This window comes from Homo sapiens, chromosome 2 (genome assembly GCF_000001405.40).
Source record: "Homo sapiens chromosome 2, GRCh38.p14 Primary Assembly".
Lineage (NCBI taxonomy): Eukaryota > Metazoa > Chordata > Mammalia > Primates > Hominidae > Homo > Homo sapiens.
The window spans coordinates 135,834,215-135,854,323 of NC_000002.12; the positions used below are offsets into that span (position 1 = coordinate 135,834,215).

General features: G+C 40.1%; 2 protein-coding genes across 3 annotated transcripts in view; both read right to left on the reverse strand.

Moving 5' to 3' along the window:
• The window catches only part of LCT (lactase), a 49,335-nt gene extending 46,365 nt beyond the window's left edge, over positions 1–2,970 (reverse strand). For both annotated transcript variants that reach the window (NM_002299.4, XM_017004088.3), the window contains exon 1: positions 2,316–2,970. In NM_002299.4, the coding sequence (NP_002290.2) occupies positions 2,316–2,955 (640 nt within the window). In that variant the 5' untranslated portion in view covers positions 2,956–2,970. The remainder of the gene's footprint in view (positions 1–2,315) is intronic.
• The window catches only part of MCM6 (minichromosome maintenance complex component 6), a 36,818-nt gene continuing 22,120 nt past the window's right edge, over positions 5,412–20,109 (reverse strand). The window contains exons 12-17 of the mRNA NM_005915.6: positions 18,573–18,701; positions 17,188–17,349; positions 13,839–13,974; positions 12,023–12,178; positions 10,331–10,470; positions 5,412–6,737 (exon numbers count right to left, since the gene is read on the reverse strand). Coding sequence (NP_005906.2) covers positions 6,621–6,737; positions 10,331–10,470; positions 12,023–12,178; positions 13,839–13,974; positions 17,188–17,349; positions 18,573–18,701 — 840 coding nt within the window. The 3' untranslated portion in view covers positions 5,412–6,620. The remainder of the gene's footprint in view (positions 6,738–10,330; positions 10,471–12,022; positions 12,179–13,838; positions 13,975–17,187; positions 17,350–18,572; positions 18,702–20,109) is intronic.

The following is a 20,109-nucleotide window of genomic DNA, read 5'->3' on the forward strand; positions in this document are numbered from 1 at the left end:
TCGCTCTGTCGCCCAGGCTGGAGTGCAATGGCGCAGTCTCGGCTCACTGCAACCTCCGCCTCCCAGGTTCAAGCGATTCTCCTGCCTCAGCCTCCTGAGTAGCTGGGACTACAGACACGTGCTACCACGCCTCGCTAATTTTTTGTATTTTTAGTAGAGATGGGGTTTCACCGTGTTAGCCAGGATGGTCTCGATCTTCTGACCTTGTGACCCGCCTGCCTCAGCCTCCCAAAGTGCTGGGATTACAAGCGTGAACCACCACGCCTGGCCTTATTTTATTTTTTTGTTTAAGGCCGGGCGTGGTGGCTCACGCCTGTAATCCCAGCATTTTGGGAGTCCGAGGCGGGCGGATCACCTGAGATCAGAAGTTTGAGTCCAGCCTGGCCAACACGGTGAAACCCCATCTCTACTAAAAATACAAAAATTAGCCAGATGTGGTGGTGCGTGCCTGTAATCCCAGCTACTGGGAAGGCTGAGGCAGGAGAATTGCTTGAACTCGGGAGGCAGAGGTTGCAGTGAGCCGAGATCACACCACTGCACTCCAGCCTGGACAAAAGAGTGAGACTCCATCTCAAAAAAAAAAAAAAAAAAAAAAAGAAGAAGAAAAAAATGTTTAACGTCTCTATAATCAAATACATGCAAATTAACAAGACATGAAAATAAGCTGTTTTCAGCTGTCAAATTAGTAATAAAATATAGCATTTGAAACTGACAGAATGGGGTCAGAGAGTAATTTTATAACTGTTCGTATAAATGATTACAACTTTTCTGGAAAATAATTTAGTACCATGCTTTAAAATCTTAAAGAATGCAGATCTTTTCACCTAGTAGTTTCAATTCTAAGATTCTGTCAGAAAGAATTTATCAGAAGGTGGGAAATAGTTTATAGATAGGAATGTCATTGCAACATAACTTGTAACTAGTGAAAATTAGAATAAACATACAAAAATAAGGAAAATACCTTAAACTTTATGCTCCATTTATACAATGGGAACCTAAAAGACCATTGAAAGTTATGCTTTCAAGTTTTTCTTTTGTTTTAAGCAATACTATTCCAGCACTGGAGTAAATTATTATATTATTTTAGAGATAGTGGCTCTCTATGTTGCCCAGGCTGGTCTCCAACTCCTGGCCTCAAGCAATCCCCCTGCCTTGGCCTCCTAACGTGCTGGGATTATAGGCATGAGCCACCATGCCTGGCTCAAGTTTTTAATAAAATGAGAATATAGTCATAAACTATGTTAAAATGAAAAAGTAGAACATAGAAGTATATATATATATATATATATATATATATATATATATATATATATATATCAGGTACTATATATACAAATATGTATGTATATGGTATATAATAAAAACAAGAAAGCATATATAATCCAAAATTGATTCTCAAAATTGGTGTACCTAACATACACTTAGGGAATTGATTATAATCACAAATGTCCTGGTTCAGCCTAGGCCTACAGATCAGAACTTCAAGTCCCCTAGGAGGCAGGAATGTGAACAGTTACAGTTGTGCTCTCCTCATCCTGTGATATATAATTGTTTCATCTTGTATTTGTCTGTCTCCCAAGCTGCAATGTAAGCTCCAACTAAGACATGTAAGTATAGGGGAGCCGAGGGGGAAGGACAGGAAACCACGAAACTTTGCCTCCAAGTCAGGGTAGCAGGACATAGACGGAAAGGAAGACAGAAAGACAATCAGTGCTTGCACAACTCAAGACTGGGCAAGGGGTATTTCAAAAATACATGTGTGTATATATATATATATATATATATATATATATATATATATGTATACATATTTTTTTTTTTTGAGATTGTGTCTTGCTCTGTCGCACAGGCTGTAGTACAGTGGCATGATTTCGGCTCACTGCAACATCTGCCTCCTGGGTTCAAGCAATTCTCCTGCCTAAGCCTCCCGAGTAGCTGGGATCACAGGCGCCTGCTACCATCCCTGGCTAATTTTGGTATTTTTAGTAGAGACGGGGTTTTGCCATATTGGCCAGGCTGGTCTCGAACTCCTGACTTCAAGTGATCCGCCCACCTCGGCCTCCCAAAGTGCTAGGATTACAGGCGTGAGCCTCAAAGATATTTTTCAAAGGAAATGCTGAGTGTTTTGCCATGTTAGCTACCCCTTCCTATCGCCAGTGGGAAATCAATTTACAATATTAATTTCTCCCTATGCACAGACATAAGAGGACTGCTGAAGGTGAGTTGGGAGAAATGTCGAATCTGCTCTAAGGAGGATGGGGAAGGTGTGTGATGAAGGTTGCCGAGGGGTCACCATCAGGTCAATGTGTACTCACCCTGAAAAGCATAGCTTTCGTGGTAAATCTCATAGGCTTTTCTGTGGGCATCACTGAGGGTCTGGAGTTGTGACGCTCTTGATTCCTGGTGGGGAAGCTCCTTGATCACTTCCTCCAAGTCACTGAAGGTGAACCAGATCCCAACTAGGTCCCCGAAGGAGTGGAAGGCGAATGTGGCATAGTCGGCGAAGAGGTCAGCAAAGGCTTCGGTTCTCCGGAGGGTGCTGGCAGGGAGGGTCTGGTGGTGCAGGATGACCATGGGCTGAAGCCGTGCAGTCTTGAGGGCCTTGAGGAGTCGCCGGTAGCACTGCACTGTTTTCTCGTCTGGATTCTGGGTGCTTCCTGCTGGGAGGAGCTGTGCCCATGACAGAAATACCTTATAATGGGTGATCTGACTGGCATGGAGACTGCTGAAGTATTCTGGCAGGAAAGTGGGCAGTGGCTGGTGACAAACATACATGTCTTTGTCCCCTGCTACAAAGTTAGAACTCTGGTCTCCCAGGAGACCACTCAGGTTGTGCAGCAAGTCATTGGTTAGAGGACCAGCGGTGGAAATGAAATTTCTATCAGACTCCCAGTCTGACCCCCAGCATGAAAAACTTAGCAGGGCAATAAAGACTACATGCCAAGACAGCTCCATTTTCTAGGAACTGTTAGGAGGTATGTGGAACCCTTACTTTATAACTGCAACTGAGGTTGTAAAATACTAAGTGATAATTAAGACTTAATATTTAACTGGGTTATCTATGATCACAAAATCAGTACACGGTTCACTAATGCAATATTTAAAAATGTAAAGATCAGGGCCGGGCGTGGTGGCTCACACCTGTAATTCCAGCACTTTGGGAGGCCGAGGTGGGCGGATCACGAGGTCAGGAGATCGAGACCGTCCTAGCTAACATGGTGAAACCCCATCTCTACTAAAAATACAAAAAATTAGCCAGGCATCGTGGCATGCGCCTGTAGTCCCGGCTACTCAGGAGGCTGAGGCAGGAGAATCACTTGAACCCAGGAGGCGGAGGTTGCAGGAGCCAAGATCATGCCACTGCACTCCAGCCTGGGCAACAGAATGAGACTCCATCTTAAAAAAAAAAAAAAAAAAAAAAGGTAAAGACCAACACAAAAACCTCAGACTTCCTATACAAGTTAAGCAGAGGAACCCGGAAAATGTCTGAAGAAAACGATTACCAATTTTTTTTGTTTTTTTTGTTTTTTGGTGACCGGGTCTCACTCTGTTGCCCAGGTGGGAGTGCAGTGGTGCGATCACAGCTTCCTGCAGCCTTGACTTCCTGGGCTCAAGTGATCCTCCCATCTCAGCATCCTGGGTAGGTGGGACCATAGGTGTGCGCCACCACGACTGGCTAATTTTTTGTATTTTTAGTAGAGATGGAGTTTTGCCATGTCACCCAGGCTGGTCTTGAACTCCTGGGCTCAAGCAATCCTCTTGCCTCAGCCTCCTAAAGTGTTGGGATTACAGGTGTGAGCCAGCGCACCCAGCCACACATTATTTTAAAATTTGTTTACATAATACAAAAATAAGTATTTTGCCCCAAATTTTCTCTTTAAAAATATGCTGAACATATTTTGTAAGAGATTCAAACAATATGGAAACATCTATGAAAAACTTGCAAATTCCTTCACCCTCCCCCCTCCTCTTCCTATAATAAGTATCTTCAGCAATATGTATCTTTCCAGTTTTCTTTCTCTGCATATCTTAATGGTTATACAGGAGTCAGAATGCCTGGGTTTAAATCTCACCTGACAAAAATTACTTAACTTTGTGCCTCTATTTTGTCACCTGTAGAATGTGGATAATTCATCATAGGCTGTGGGGATTAAATGGGTCTTTCTTGTAGCATGTATACAACAGTACAGCTCAGGGATCATTATTATTACGTAAATACAAATGGAAACGTGTATAACATTTAAAATATAGAACAATTTAACATATATGGAATTATGCCATATGTATTTTCAGCCTTTTCTTCACTTAATAGCTCTTAGAGTTCTGCCTGTATCAGAACATATAGACCCACCTCTAACAGATGCATAGCTTTCCACAGCAAGAATGTACCATAAATTAACATCTTGCATATTAAACACCGGTTGGTTTTACATTTTTGTGTTGCAAACAATGCTGCAAATGAATATCCTTATATACAGGCTGGGCATGGTCAATCACGCCTGTTTTGCCAGTACTTTTGGAGGCTCAGACTGTAGGACTGCTCAAGCCCAGGAGCTTGAGGCCAGTCTGGGCAACACAGGGAGATCATCTCAAAAAAAAAAATGGTTTTTGATTGATTGAAATGCAAATTGTCTTCCAAGTTAAATCCTACATAGAGTTAGATGTGTGCCTGTATCCGTCTGCCTTGCTAATGCCTATTATAAAACTTTTACATTTTTGATACTTTGACGTAAATATTATGTGCTTTTCTTTTTCTGATTATTTAAGAGGTGAAGCTCTTCTTGTTAATTGGGCATTTTTCTTCTGAGTTTTATCTTATTACTGATATAAAAATTCTTAATGGGAGTTTGGATATCACATATTAAAACGTGATAGAAAAATTTTCCCATCTTTTAATTTGGTTTATAGTGTCTGTTTTTTTTTAATAGACTCCCATGACTTTCCATAGACTGTAGAGGGTGAAGCCTGGGAATCTTTTTTTGTTGTTGTTGTTGCCGCCCAAGCTGGAGGGCAGTGGCATGATCTCAGCTCACTGCAACTTCCACCTCTTGGGTTCAAGCAATTCTCCTGCCTCAACCTCCTGAGTAGCTGGGATTACAGGTGCCCACCACCATGCCTGGCTAATTTTTGTACTTTTAGTAGAGACAGGTTTTCTCCACGTTGGCCAGGCTTGTCTCGAACTCCTGACCTCAGGTGATCTACTCACCTTGGCCTCCCAAAGTGCTGGGATTACAGGCGTGAGCCACCGTGCCTAGCCTTTTTTTTTCTTAAGTGAAAGCAAGGCTATTAGGAAAGTAAAGGAATAAAAAATGGTTACTACGTCAGCAGAGCAGCCTAGTCTTTAAAGATACATTACCTGATACCAGTCTTCTTATAAAAATCCCATGACAAATCTACTTGAGTATTCACTCTTGTTTTTAATGTTTGCCATTTATTTTTAAAATACTTAATTGTACATACTTGTGGAGTACATTTTGACAAGGTTTCATACAAGTTGATTCCAGGGAAAGAGATAATTATTGGGAGAAACATATTTAAATCATTGTTTTAACCTATATTAATCTGTCTTGCTTTCTACTAATAGATTTCTGGCTGCTCAAATTCACATTGCACTGGAAAGCTCAGACATCAAGGCAAGTTGAGTACTCATGGGTATTAGACTGTCCCACGTGGGCCTTAGCCTCAGACAGTTATTTTGCTTTTGTGACCTTTAACATACTTTGTGATTTAATGAATGCCATCTGTTGTTAAAAGCTGCAACACAGGAACTGCTCCACCTCATGAACATACTGATCATAGCTAAGTCTCAGGAACTGTTAGTATCATAAACGGTAATAACTTTTCCTGGAAGACCATAAAATTTGGGGATTGCTTGTAATATAGCAAATGACCTATTTCCCCTAAAAAAGCAATTTGAAAACAATCCTGAGAAATTACCCTTAGGACACAGAAGTAAAATAAATTACTAAAGAGTAATTTTAAAAAAGTATAATAAACTTTTATAAACTTAAAAAAAAAAAAAAACAACTGGAATTAACCTTGGAAAGTCATCTCTAAGGCCTCTAGCTTTCATATGAGTTCTCTAATGACTCCTTCTCATAGAAACCTCATCCATAATACCACAGTTCTACCTCTTCACTCCAGGTTAAGCAAAAAGGGAAAGTCTCACATTCAGAAGTAGATGGAAGTAATAATCAGGGTACAGTAGAAAGAAATCCAATAGACAACTTCAGAACAAGTTATTTTATTTTGATGAATAAAAGCAGTAGCTGGCAATTGAAAAAAAGTTATTTGCTCAATAGGACAGCACATACCTTAAAAGTAATGGGCCTTTTCTTACACATGAAAACAAAGGTATTGGTTATAGAGACTACACATTATTTGGTTCCAACTTCACTGGGACAGGAAACACACCAAAGGAAGTGCTGAAGCCTGTGTTGGTATGAAACCTGTGATGAATGTGACACATAGGACCATCAACTCAATTCTTGTTTCTGAAAACAAATCCTGGAAGCATCACTTCCAGAAACACTTCTGTCCCTAGCAGAGCTCCAGCCAGGCTCCAGGCCACGAGGTGCTGTGCCACAGTTCCTCAGCTCTGGTCAGTTACTTTCACTATCTCAATCTTCGAGCAAGTAGTTAGGGTTAACTACCAAGTAGGGATCTTCTTCATAGCTCTCACTTCCCTCTGTGGAGCCTTTCAATCCAGCCTGGGTGAGCTCAATTAGAACATGATCCTGTGAAACACAAATATTTGTCCTCAGGTTTCAAGCAGTATTATACCAATGTCCAGATATACAAGACTTGACCCTTCTTCCGAGTGTTTGCTATCAACATTTTCTTTCATTTCCCAACTAGAAACTCCTAGGAAAAGGACCACACTTTAAAAATCACTATCAGTGCTCTGCTAAACCCTGTTCCTAGTAGGATGCTGACCTTTTCATACCATAAACCCCTTGTGGAAAATTAAGAAATACTTAAATATATTACATCAAATGCTTGTAAATACAACTTCAAAAAAGGAAGTAATGCTTGAATTTTAAGGTTAAACAACTCTGCAAAATCTTCTAATTAATTGGAAGTCTGTTTCATACTTAATATCATTCAGCAATTTTTAATTATGACCACTGAACTTTTTCATATACCACCATTTCATAGAGTTAGGAGAAGAATCTATGAAAATTCATCTGAAAAATTTTTCACTCTGAGCTAATAAAAAAAAAGGTAGAACATGCCATCTGGCTTAAAATCTTGATGACAGATTTTAAGCCCACGATATAATTACAGGTTAGTCAAAACTGTCCACAAATGAGAAGAGCTCCTAGCCAAGCCCATAGAAAGGAACTCAGGAAACTGTGATTTGATCCTAAGAAGTCTGGCAAGGCTCCACAGTATAAACACTGAAGCCACTAAGGGGGACTGGACACTTTTTAAAAAATTGCCCTTTCAAATCTACCCCTGAAGTTAGATTGGACACTTTCAAGCACTCACTCTATGTGTTAACATACCTTCATAGGAAGCATCATATCTCATCAGCACAGTATAAGCTCTCTAGTTTTCTGTAGCAAATTAGTTCAGGTGGTAAGCCAAATTTTAAAAGGTAATCCAGGCTGAGCGCAGTAGCTCATGCCTGTAATCCCAGCACTTTGGGAGGCTGAGGTGGGTGGATCACCTGAGGTCAGGAGTTTGAGACCAGCCTGGCCAACATGGTGAAACACCATCTCTACTAAAAATACAAAAATTAGCTGGGAGTGGTGGCGGGCACCTGTAATCCCAGCTACTCTGGAGGCTGAGATAAGAGAATCATTTAAACCCAGAAGGCGGAAGTTGCGGCGAGCTGAGATCATGCTACTGCACTCCAGTCTGGGCAACAGAGCAAGACTCTCTCAAAAGATAAATAAATAAATAAATAAATAAATAGGTAATTCAAGTTTAGATCAGTTAGCTTCACAGTGTGTTCCAAAGTCCTGAAGCAGATTCCTTGCCTGGGTCGTTTTACTTTACACTGATCCCAAGGAGCACACAGACATGTCCCACCACTAGAAAAGCAACTCTGGACCCTGATCTGAGTAGCTGTTCTTACACCTCCCTACCCCTCAATAATCACAGACTGATCTACCTTCACAGGAAAACGGTTTTTGAGAAGACACAACCCCAATACATGACCTCTGTAATATTTATATAGTGAGCCCTGTGAATTGGCACGACAGTTAAATCTCTGCCACATAATAGGAAAATTTAACCATTCAACATATATTTGATCCTGCTATGTGCCAGGTACCACTGTAGCTCCGGGGCAAAGTCTCTACCCTCACAGAGCTTATATTCCATAAGAGAGACAAACTAACCACTTAAATAAAGAATATACTGCTGGGCCATGTTAAACATTACGAAGAAATACAAGGCAGGGTGACAGCAAGAGCAGAAGGCTACTATTTTGGCAGGCTAGCAAGAAAGGTTTCTTTGAAGAGGTAACATTTGAGCAGACATTGGAGAGGAGGAGGATATCTAGGGAAATGGACAAAGGGTGAGTGCAAAGGCCCTCATATTTGGTGTGCCTAGGGATCAAGGCCAGTGTCACTGGGGTGAAATGGGTATGGGGAAGACTGCTGTGAAATTAGGTGAATGAGGGGACAGGGGTTACACTGTATAATAGTTCTGCAGGCCATGACAAGGAGGCTGAATTTCCTTCTAATGTGAGAGAAGCACTGGAAGGGAGGGTAGTAAAATAATCTGATTTATATTTTAAAAAGACTTATCTGGCTGCTGAGCAAGAAGCCAATACAAAAAAAGGACAATTTTATGAGGCTTCTGCAACAGTCCATGCCTGGTGGCTTGGGTGGGCTGGTGAAGGCGGTAAAAAGAGAAAAGAAAATATACACACACTGAAGCTGGGGGTCAGAGGATTTGCTGCTGAAGAGGAGCTGTGAGGGGAGAGTGGAATCAAGGAGTCAAAGACAATTCCAAGGCATTTGGCCTATAGCAATTGAGTAAGAACAACTCAACTGCAAACAGGGAAGAACAACTCTGTTTTTGAACACATTAAGCACGAGATGCCTGTTAAACGCTCATCAGTAGGCAACCAGCTCTATACATCTGGAGTTTACAGGAGTGGTGAGAGCTGGTGACATAAATGTGGAAGTCATCAGTAGATGGATAAATTCATAAAACCAAATGAGATCACTTAGGTAATGAATGTAAACTATCTGAGAGTAAAGTAAGAAGAGAAAGATTCAGGCCAGGCACGGTGGCTCACGCCTGTAATCCCAGCAGTTTGGGAGGCCAAAGTGAGCGTATCGCCTGAGGTTAGGAGTTCTAGATCAGCCTGGCCAACATGGCAAAACCCCATCTCTACTAAAAAAAAAAAATTAAAAAATTAGCCGGGCGTGGTGGCCGGCGCCTGTAATCCTACTTGGGAGGCTGAGACAGGAGAATCGCTTGAACCCAGGAGGTGGAAGCTGCAGTGAGCTATGCCACTGCACTCCAGCATGGGCAACAAGAGCGAAACTCTGTCTCAAAAAAAAAAAAAAAAAACAAAACCATTCAGGGAAAGAGACTAAGAGGGAATAACCAGTGAGAAAGAAGCCCCAGGAGGATACAGTGACTCAGAACCAAGTGAGGAAGACACTATTTGTAGGAGTGATCAACTGTGACAAAGCTGTGGACAGGCTGAGTACTGAGAATGGCCAGCTGACAGGAGTGGAGAGAAGGTATGTGATGGGCCTGTGAGAGAGTGAGGCAAAGAACTGACCCGGGAAAAGGAATTGCACTGGGCAGTGCTGTCATGAGGTTGATGAGACAGTAAGAACTGTCCACTTGAGATTTCTGGTCATCGATTTAAATAAGACTGGGCTCATAATTATATGCTTTTCTCCAGATACTTTCAGCTGCTTAGATAAGGATACAAAAAAAAAAAAAAGTTATATTTAACCAAGTTTGGGGTTTCGCCAAGCAAGTAAGATGGAAGATTGACTATTGGGTTGGGTAAGGTGGGAACTAAGAATGTGAGGAAAATGAAACATAGAAAGTAGGTGACAGCAGTACGACCAAGGGCAAATATGAGGATGGGAAACAGAAGCTTAAAACACCTAACTAGTAAGACTTCAATCCCACCTTCTGAGATTTAACCTAAATTCTGCTTGTTTCAGCAGAGGAAATAAGTCATTTACCTGCTGTTCATTCTCTCTTATTTTACAACTCATACTTCTGACTACACTCCAATGATTCAAAACAAACAAAGGTCAAAAAAAATTTCACTAGTGAACCTGCAGATACAGGGCATGAACTCCCTCCCTCCCTGATACCAGAGCACGCGCACTTCTGCACCTACATAGTGTGTGAGTCGATGAATAACTTTCTCTATGATTCTTTTTTTATTTATAAGTTCTTCTTCAGAGTCTATCTCTGATTCGATTTCCTTCAAGTACCAGTTAACAAGCTCGCTCCTCTTTAATGCTGACTCGTCCTCTTCTGCAACAAAAAAACACATTCAAATTATCCTAGCAACTCGTACTGTCAGTCCTTGGGTAAATCTCTGCCACATATACAACGAGATAATGTACAGATTAGATAAATGTCAAGCCGTCCGAAAGTACATCTGGTGACGTAAGGTCCGCAATGTTCTAGCATAAGCCTGAAATAACAAGTCATATCACTTGTATTAAAGCATGCCTTATTTTATCCATAAGGAGAGAAACCTAATAAAATAGATTATAAGAAATATGTTTCTTAAAGCTATTAAGATTTCAAAGTATGAAGGTCTTTTCTTCATCTTCTTATGCTTCACCACCTCTGAGAATGCTTGCCAACAGAAACTAAAAGCATAAATTAGGAATGAAGCAACAGCAAGCAAAAATTCTGAAATATAACAACTTTTCCTCTGTAGAAAGGGGAAGGCTTTATGGAACTGGAGTTTACTAAGAAGTAAAATTCATGAGTATTCACTCAAAATAAAAAATTACCTGTTTATTTTAGCAAGGTTCATCTTACTAAGTGAACTGCCTGCTGCTTTTAACAAGTCCAAGGTCTACCAGACTTTTAGAAAGTCCTGGTAAGAACCCTCAACACATAGGAAATGTTTGGACCTGGATAACATAACTATCATAAAACTCAACTTCTGCTGTGTTTAAAACTTACTTGTATGAGGGAGAAAGAGAATAATGACATATAACATGAATCAAGAACACCTTGAGTTCCCAAATCATTTTGTGTGAGACGCGAATGAGGACAAAAGCTGAGGCGTCCTAGTGGCCACTTTGTTGCCTTCTCTCCTACTGGTCTAAAGTTCCCAGGGGAACAAGGGCAGAAACTACAATCTCTTGTTCTCTTCTTTCATAGCAGAGCAAATACTGTGATGACAAAATATTCCAGAAAGCCAGCACAAGCCATCCTTGGGGCTTTTAATCAAGAATTATCTGATGCTTAACTATCAAGTAGAAGTTTAGGTTCAACATCTTGAATTCATCATTTTTCCTTCTGCTTTGTAGTTAACTATAGGGTGATAAAACTTTGAATAGCATGGTAAAGCAGTTAAGGGTAGGAAGCGTACTAGTGTCCAGACGCCACACTTTACCAATAACTACATGAGGATTTTACTCCATTTCTAGTCTGCAATGGCCTTTTGATAGTATAGATTTCTAGGCTCAATTAATTACTGTTAAAATATACCCTAGGGGTCCAGCTGTTTTAAACAGAACCATTGTAAGGGAATAGTAATTTTGCATTTGTAAAAACATTTGTATGTGCTGCTTCATATGTTATCAGGTCCCAAAATTATTAAAATAGGCCCAGAATGTTAAAAAGAAGGACCTACAAAGCTTTGCCTGACAATAAGCTTGTGAAGAAATGTTCAGGCTGGCAGGTATGCTGATACTCCACAAATTTACTTTGCTAAAGTGAGTTTATCTAACAACTTATCCTCTCTTCCGACAGAACAACACGAAGTTTGGCAATCACAAGTGGCCTATGTGAACAGAGCTTACAGAAGTGACCGAGCATGTAAGCAGTACCAGGTAAGCCTCACCTTCTTCCACCTTTCTGAGGTGAAGCACAATAAGGTTAGAGATTCGGCAGTACTCAGAGAAGCCCAGCCTTAAGGAGGCTTTGGGAGCAGACTCTTGATTTATGTCTTCATTGTAGCCATTGATCCCGTTCACAGGAGCAGGGCTGTCAGCATGACCTAAGTGAAAAATTGACCACCTGAATCTTATTTTTGTGCCCTTAACATCCCCTTGTCAAGCATTTACAAATACACTACTTACATTTAATACTGATTTTTTTCACTTTTAAAAATTATTATTATTATTTGTTTTAGAGACAGGGTCTTGCTATGCTGCCCAGGCTGGTCTCGAACTACCGGACTCAACTGATCCTCCTGTCTTGGTCTCCCAAGTGCTGGGATTACAGGTGTGGGCCACCACATCCAGCCTTAACACTAATTTTAAAACAAGCATACATTCCCACATGATCTCCTCTGCCAAAAAATAAAAATGAAAAACAAAATAAACCGGCTAGGTGCAGTGGCTCACACCTGTAATCCCAGCACTTTGCAAGGCCAAGGGAAGCACATCACCTGAGGTCAGGAGTTTGAGACCAGCCTGGCCAACATGGTGAAATCCTGTCTATACTAAAAATACAAAAATTAGCTGGGTGTGGTGGTGGGTGCCTGTAATCCCAGCTACTCGGAAGCCTGAGGCAGGAGAATTGCTTGAACCCGGGAGGCAAAGGTTGCAGTGAGATGAGATTGCACCATTGTACTCCAGCCTGGGCAACAAAAGCAAAACTCCATCTCAAAAATAAAAAAAAACAAAAAACAAACAAAAAAAAACATGCATACAGTTATACATAGCATATAAGAATTTTCAAATAAATTAGAAGCAAATGTATAAACTCTACTAGTAAAGACAAAAACTAACTTGGGAGGAACGTGAGGGATCAGAGATATAAAGATTTCACAATCTGAAAGTCCACTTGCAGTATTATATACAAAATAAAAAATTCTACCAGTCTGGGCAATATGGCGAGATCCTGTCTCTAGAAAAAATTCTCAAAAAATTAGCCAGGAGTGGTGGCGTGGGCATATGTCCCAGCTATTAGAGAGGATAGGGAGAAGGACTGCTTGAGCCCAGGAAGTTAAGGCTGCAGTGCCATGAGTGTACCAAGGCATTCAAGCCTGGGTGACAGAATGAGACCCCATCTCAAAATAAATAAAATTTCTAGTATTTTTCTGTTCTAATGTGCTTGAAAAAATGTTTTCAATTCAGAAGCAAAACAACAATACAAATAAGGGTAAAACCCAGGGGATTTATGTCTATTATCACCATTTTGCTGCCTTTTCTTTTAGTCTTTCAAATATCTATGTATTTTTTGAGACAGAGTCTCGCTCTGTCACCCAGGCTGGAGTGCAGTGGCACAATCTCAGCTCACTGCAACCTCCGCCTCCCGGGTTCAAGTGATTCTCCTGCCTCAGCCTCCCAGGTAGCTGGGGCTACAGGCAGCCGCCACCACGCCTGGCTAATTTTTGCATTTTTAGTAGAGAAGGGGTTTCACCATATTGGCCAGGGTGGTCTCAAACTCCTGACCTTGTGATCCACCTATCTCAGCCTCCCAAAGTGCTGGAATTATAGGCGAGAGCCACCGTGCCCAGCCAAGTATATATATTTTATATCAACTATTTAATTTCATTTTAACTTGTAAACAGTGAATAGAATTCAGTATCTGCTTTTTCCGTTTTGCTACCATAGACTATTAGCCAACAGCAGGTGTACTTCTACCACATGACATCTCAGAAAATGTTTTGGTCCCTAACTCCAAAACAGTCACATGAACAAGTATCTCACCATTGATGCCACCAGCACCCTCATCTACCTCCATCTGGATCTCTTCCTCTTGATCTAGATTGACATCAGGTGTTTCCACACGGATGATTGATTTATTCAGTAACCGGAAAGCTTCCTTCACATGTTTAGGTTGGACCTAAACCAATAATGATGAAGTAATTAAGCTACTTTTTTTGATATACCAAACAGATTTTCTCCCAATGAAATCACAGTAGTATGTATTTTGGTTTTCTCACAAACACACACACTCTCACAGTGTTGCTTTGGTTTTCTCACAAACACCCTCTCTCATTCTCTCTCTTACACACACAGAAATAGCACTATAAATTCACCAGAATGGCTAAAATGACTGACAATATCAAGTGTTGTCAAGAAGGTAGAACAACTCTCATTCACAGCGGTGAAAACAGAAATTGACACAACTGTTTGGCAGAAAAACATGCATTAACCTATGACCCAACAATTCCACTCCTAGGTATGTACTTGTAGAAATATAAACATATATACATATCATATGAATCCAAAGACATATACATCCCATAAGAACTAGGCCAGGCACGGTGGCTCATGTCTATAATCCCAGCACTTTGGAAGGCAGAGGCAGGCGGATCACCTGAGATTGGGAGTTTGAGACCAGCCTGACCAACATGGAGAAACCCCATCTCTACTAAAAATATAAAAAATTAGCTGGGCATGGTGGCACATGCCTGTAATCCCAGCTACTCAGGAGGCTGAGAAAGAAGAATCGCTTGAACCTGGGAGGCAGAGGTTGCAGTGAGCCGAGATTGTGACACTGCACTCCAGCCTGGGCGACAGAGTGAGACTCCATCTCAAAAACAAAACAAAACAAAAAAACAACCAGCAATGAAACCAGCCAGAAAATGAAATGGAAAAAAAGGCTACTCCCAGTACGAACAAACATGATAAAATATCAAGAAATTCAACAAGAAACACTGAAAAACATATGAAGAAAAGTTTAAAGCACTACTGAGTGAAACAGAAGACTTAAGTGGAAAGATAACGGTATTTGTGGTACTCAGAACTGTTCACAAATGTTTGCTCTTCTAATTCTGGGCACCTGGTAGGAAGGCATTTCTCTATCCATTTGAACTTAGGAGGGGCCATGTTAATTTCTCTGGCGAATGAAATGTGAGTATGTGTCATTTCTGGATAGAAGGGGGAGAAAGCACATGGCTCACCACCTTCTCTTCCCTGCTTTCTGTCATCATGAAAGCGTATGTCAAGATCAAACCTTTATATCAGCCTGAATCTCTGAGTAACTTGACAAGGTGAGTCCCTTGATGACCTAATGGATGTGTAGCACAAGCAAAAAAAAATTGTTTTATGCAGCTGAGATTTTATAGTAGTACAACCTAACCTATTCTAAGTGATACGTTACTGAATAGGAAAAATCATAGATGTTTTCAATTCTTCAAGTTAATATAAATAGAATGTTATACTGATAAAAAAATACCAGGTTTTTCTTTAAAACAGAGCAAGCTGATTTCTAAGTTCCTAACAGCTGATAGAGAACAATGCGCTGGAACTAGCCCTACATTTAAACTACAAAGCCCCATAGATTAAAACATCATGGTACCAATGTAAGAGGAGCTGATAAGACTCAATGAACAGAATGGAAAGTCCAAAAGGAGATCCTAACACACACAAGAATATATAATTAAGGCATGCCAAACCAGTGTCAAAAAGATGGATTGTTCAATAAATGGTTTTGGAACAACTAGAAAACTAGCTAGGTAAATAATGGGAGAATTTTTTATAATCTTAGAGTGAGAAAGGCCTAACAAAAGTTTTTTTAATGGATGAAGATTATGAACATATGAGACAGAAATAGCTCTTAAATATATGCAGATACTAAATTTCATTCAGAAAATATATTTGTGTATATAATTTATGTGCATATATTTTAATATCATGTGAATCTGCTATTTGAAGACTAATTTTTAAAAATAGAACAAAATAAAAATCAATTAGAGACTGCCCTAAGACATGTACCAGTTTTATGCAACTCATTTCAGGAACTATCACAATGAAAAAAAAAGTACAAATGTTAGCATGGTTTTAGAATGACCTTGTCCCAGGGTATCTTGCCTATCCAAATTCTGCACACCCTTCAGTGACTGGGTTTAAACGTCGGCACCTCCCTGAGTCCTCCTCCTTCTTTGGTAATAAAGTAATTCATCTCAGCACTCTGGTTGTGATGCTCTATTCTCCCTCTCGTTTTTTTTTAATTTCCAACTTATATTTTAGGTTCGGGGGTACACATGCAGGTTTGTTACATAGGTAAACTGTGTGTCATGGGGATTTAGTATATAGATTATTTCATCACCCACTCTATTTTTTACATGCTTAATTAAATACATGTCTCGTTCCCACCAGATTAGCAGCAATGGAAGGCAGGGGCTCTCATTCATTTTTTGTCCCCTACAGGTGTTCCCTAAATATTGGGTGAATCAAAGAATATTAAATAACCTAGTGTGAAAGTACTTCGTCAATAGTAAAGTACCATATCAAAGAATTTGAAAATTTAGTGGAAAAAAGCCAAAAAATTAACCTGTGGGATAAAAGTAGTGATTGAAGTCGGAACAGTGGTTACTTCAGGGGAAGAGGGCTAAGACTGAAAAGAGGCAGGGGTTTGGAACTTTCTGAAATTATGGAAATGTTTTGGATCTTGAGCTGGGTATTCACAAGGATGTATGTGAAAAAACTCACCATGCCATACATTTCCCTTTTTATAAATTATACCTCAGTCACACTGTAAAAAAAAGCCAAACCCCCTTTTCAAAGACGACCTTACATCAAACCTATTAATAAAACTAGGAAAACGCAGGGCTGCTTTGGTTGAAGCGAAGATGGGACGCTTGAATGCCCTTTCGTACTACTCCCCTTTTACCTCGTTAATACCCACTGACCTATCCTCGTGGAATGCAGGGCTCAAAGAACAATCTAAAAATCAAACATTATACAAATGCAACCTAAGGAGGAGAGTTCCTTTGAGGCCAGGGGCTACATTATCTTATCTGTATTGCCAGCGCAGAGGCCTACTAGTACATTGTAGGGTCTAAGTACATTTTTCCTGAATGAAAGGTATTAAATGGTAACTTACGTCTTTATGCACTCTATAAACTATGACGTGATCGTCTCCGTCTAACAACTACACTCAAATGCTTACCAAGCTCTTTAAAGGGAAGAATTCCATGGTCGTATGAGCATTCAACAGTTACATAAAAATGTATTTGCAGTGAATTCTAGTATGTCCCATACCAAAGATTAAAAACATGCAACAAATCTGTTTATCTCTGCTCTCATCATATCAAAGTGACTCTGATACCTCATCACAGCAGTGCATCCGAGCCATAGCTTCAGAGAGACGAATCATGCTCTCAAGCTGTCGCACTGTAATCCTCCATGAAGACTTGGTCACTCCAGAACCATCTCTCTGGCGGAGATGTTTATATTGCTCCACAATGAAGTCCTCTGACTCTTTGGAAATCTGTTTCAGATCATCACTCAAGTTAGAGAAACATTTCTATTTGATGAGAGCTACGGTAAACCTAAGTTTAAGAGCCTTCCAGGTGGAAACATTTAGGGAACCTGAGAGGGTTGAAACTTTGAGAAGCCAGTGACAATAAATTACTATTGTAATGTCTTTCAAAAGAAACTAATATTAAGGAGGCTTGTGAATTCCATGTTACTAATTTTATGAACCTGAAAAAAGGCTTAGTATTTAAGCAAATGACCATTTCTAAAAGCTGCTTAACAAGCTGAAGCAATGGAACAAGATGTAATGTCTTTTACACCTCAGGATGTCAGTGCTCATTAAATAAATTAATGCTCAGTATTTGAGGCTCAATTAATTAACTCACACTCTTTGCAGGGAAAAAAAAGCTGTTTCAATAAACTTTATATCTAAAGGATCCTCAGCTTTTCAGAGCAAGGAATTCACCATATTAAGGAAGCATGCCAAGGTTACAGAGGGATCAGTATATCAGTATGCAGTAATGGAGAACAGATGCTCTTTTTTACACAAGAATCACCCATAATCCTTAGTTTTAAATGATTAAATTTCTTTGGGACAGTGAGAGCCAACTGCAATCTCATGAATAATCAAGTGAAGATGATAAATGATCAATACCTAGTAACACCTTCCAGAAGTCAAGTTAGCCAACAGTGTGAAAATCTCAACCAGAATGAGTATTTTTTTTCCTTTTCATACCCTATTTTGGGAAAATGCCAAGCATTTGGGGGTTTATGTCCAGGTAAGAATCCTGGGTCCAGAACAGAGTTAGTCCAATACAATGCATCAATCACTGTAAAACAGTAATTTATATTTATCATAATGGCCTAGATGAATCCAATGTTTCCTTCAAAGAAAGATTCAACTATTGATTTAGGCGCATAAACAATTTTAACGTTCTTAGTAATGTTTGAAATAAAAGAATGTTCTAGATTATCCAGTTATCCAAAACTCTTCTCCCATACAAATCTTTTTATTACCACCAAACAAATAATGGAATTATTCAGAATTTTTTTTACAGTTCCCTTTCTCAGCCCTCTCTGAAAAAACAAATTGCTGTTCCAGAAAAAAAAAAAAAGTTGTAAAATTTAGGAACTAAGGTAGATGACAGGTTCAGTTAATTTCCATATAACACACTTACTTAAATTCCACTTTAATATACCCATTATACCTTATCCCAGTACAAAAGGGTAGGTTACCTTGGGTTTAAACTGTCTTGCAAAGAGAAGATATCTTCTGATATCATCGAGGGAATAGACACGATCAATTGATTCCTCAATTCTTGAATGCAAATCTACTATGCGCCTGGCAATGGCATAATCTGTAACCTAATTCAAAACAAAAAAATCACTTTGATAGTCACAGCAATATCTTCTCCAGACTATCCCAGGCAATAAGAAATGATTTATCGCCAAAAACAAGCTCTAATATACCACTTAAAGAAGTATTAATGGGTACCAAGTTTCTGATGAAAGTTTGGGAACAGGTGGATTTAAAATCAAACGTTTAAATGTATACCATTGCCCCACTCTAAAACTATACCTGAAGGAATTGATTGGCTTTAAAAACAATAGTAGGGTAAAGTGCAGTGGCTCACACTTGTAATCCCAACACTTTGGGAGACTGATGTGAGAGAAGAGCTTGAGGTCAAGAGTTTGAGACCAGTCAGGGCGACAAACTGAGACCCTCCCTGTCTCTACAAAAAAACTAGCTGGGCATGGTGGTGCACATGTGTAATCCCAGCTACTCAGGTGGCTGAGGCAGGAGGATCACTTGAGCCCAGGAGGTTGAAGGGGCAGTGAAGCCATGATTGCACCACTGCACTCCAGCCTGGGCAACAGAGTAAGCCTTATCTCAAAAACAAAACAACAAAAATAGCAGAACTAACATTTATAGGGCCCTCAGTGTATGAGACACTGTTCTCTTAGGCAGGTCTTAGAAGAATTAACTTATGCAATCCTCACAAAAATTTTATTAGGTAAATGATATTATCCCCATTTTATACATGGGCAAATTGAGGCCTAGGAAGGTTAAGTAATTTATCCAAGGTCACAGTTAAGTAGTGGAGCCAGGATTTGAATAGTCTAGCTTCAGAGACTGTGCTCTTAGCCACTAAATTTTGAAGATATTCATCCCAGAATACTGGAAAAAAAAAAAAGACCCCAAAATATGCAACTTGCTCTCAAATGGTTCAGGAAAAAAGTGTGCAGATATATACAGACAGTAAGCAATAAAGCAAACAGGGTAAAATGTTATTATGTGAATCACGTAAAGGGTATATGGGTGTTCTATGCACTATTCCATTTCTTGCAACTTTTCTGTAAGCTTGAAATTATTTCTAATTAAGAAGTTGTCTGGGCGGAACACAGTGGCTCATGCCTGTAATCCTAGCACTTTGAGAGGCCAAGGCTGGTGGATAGCTTGAGCTCAGGAGTTCAAGACCAGTCCAGGCAACACGGCAAAACTCGGTCTCTACAAAAAATACAAAAGTTAGCTGGGCATGGGGGCCTGCACCTGTAGTTCCAGCTGCTCAGGAGGCTGAGGTGGGAGGCTGGCTTGAGCCCAGGAGGCAGAGGTTGCAGTGAACTGAGATCATGCCACTGCACTCCAGCCTGGGCAATACAGCCAGACCCTGTCTCAAAATAAATAACTAAAATAAAACAGGCTGGGCCCGGTGGCTCACGCCTGTAACCTCAGCACGTTGGGAGGCCAAGACGGGATCACCTGAGGTCAGGA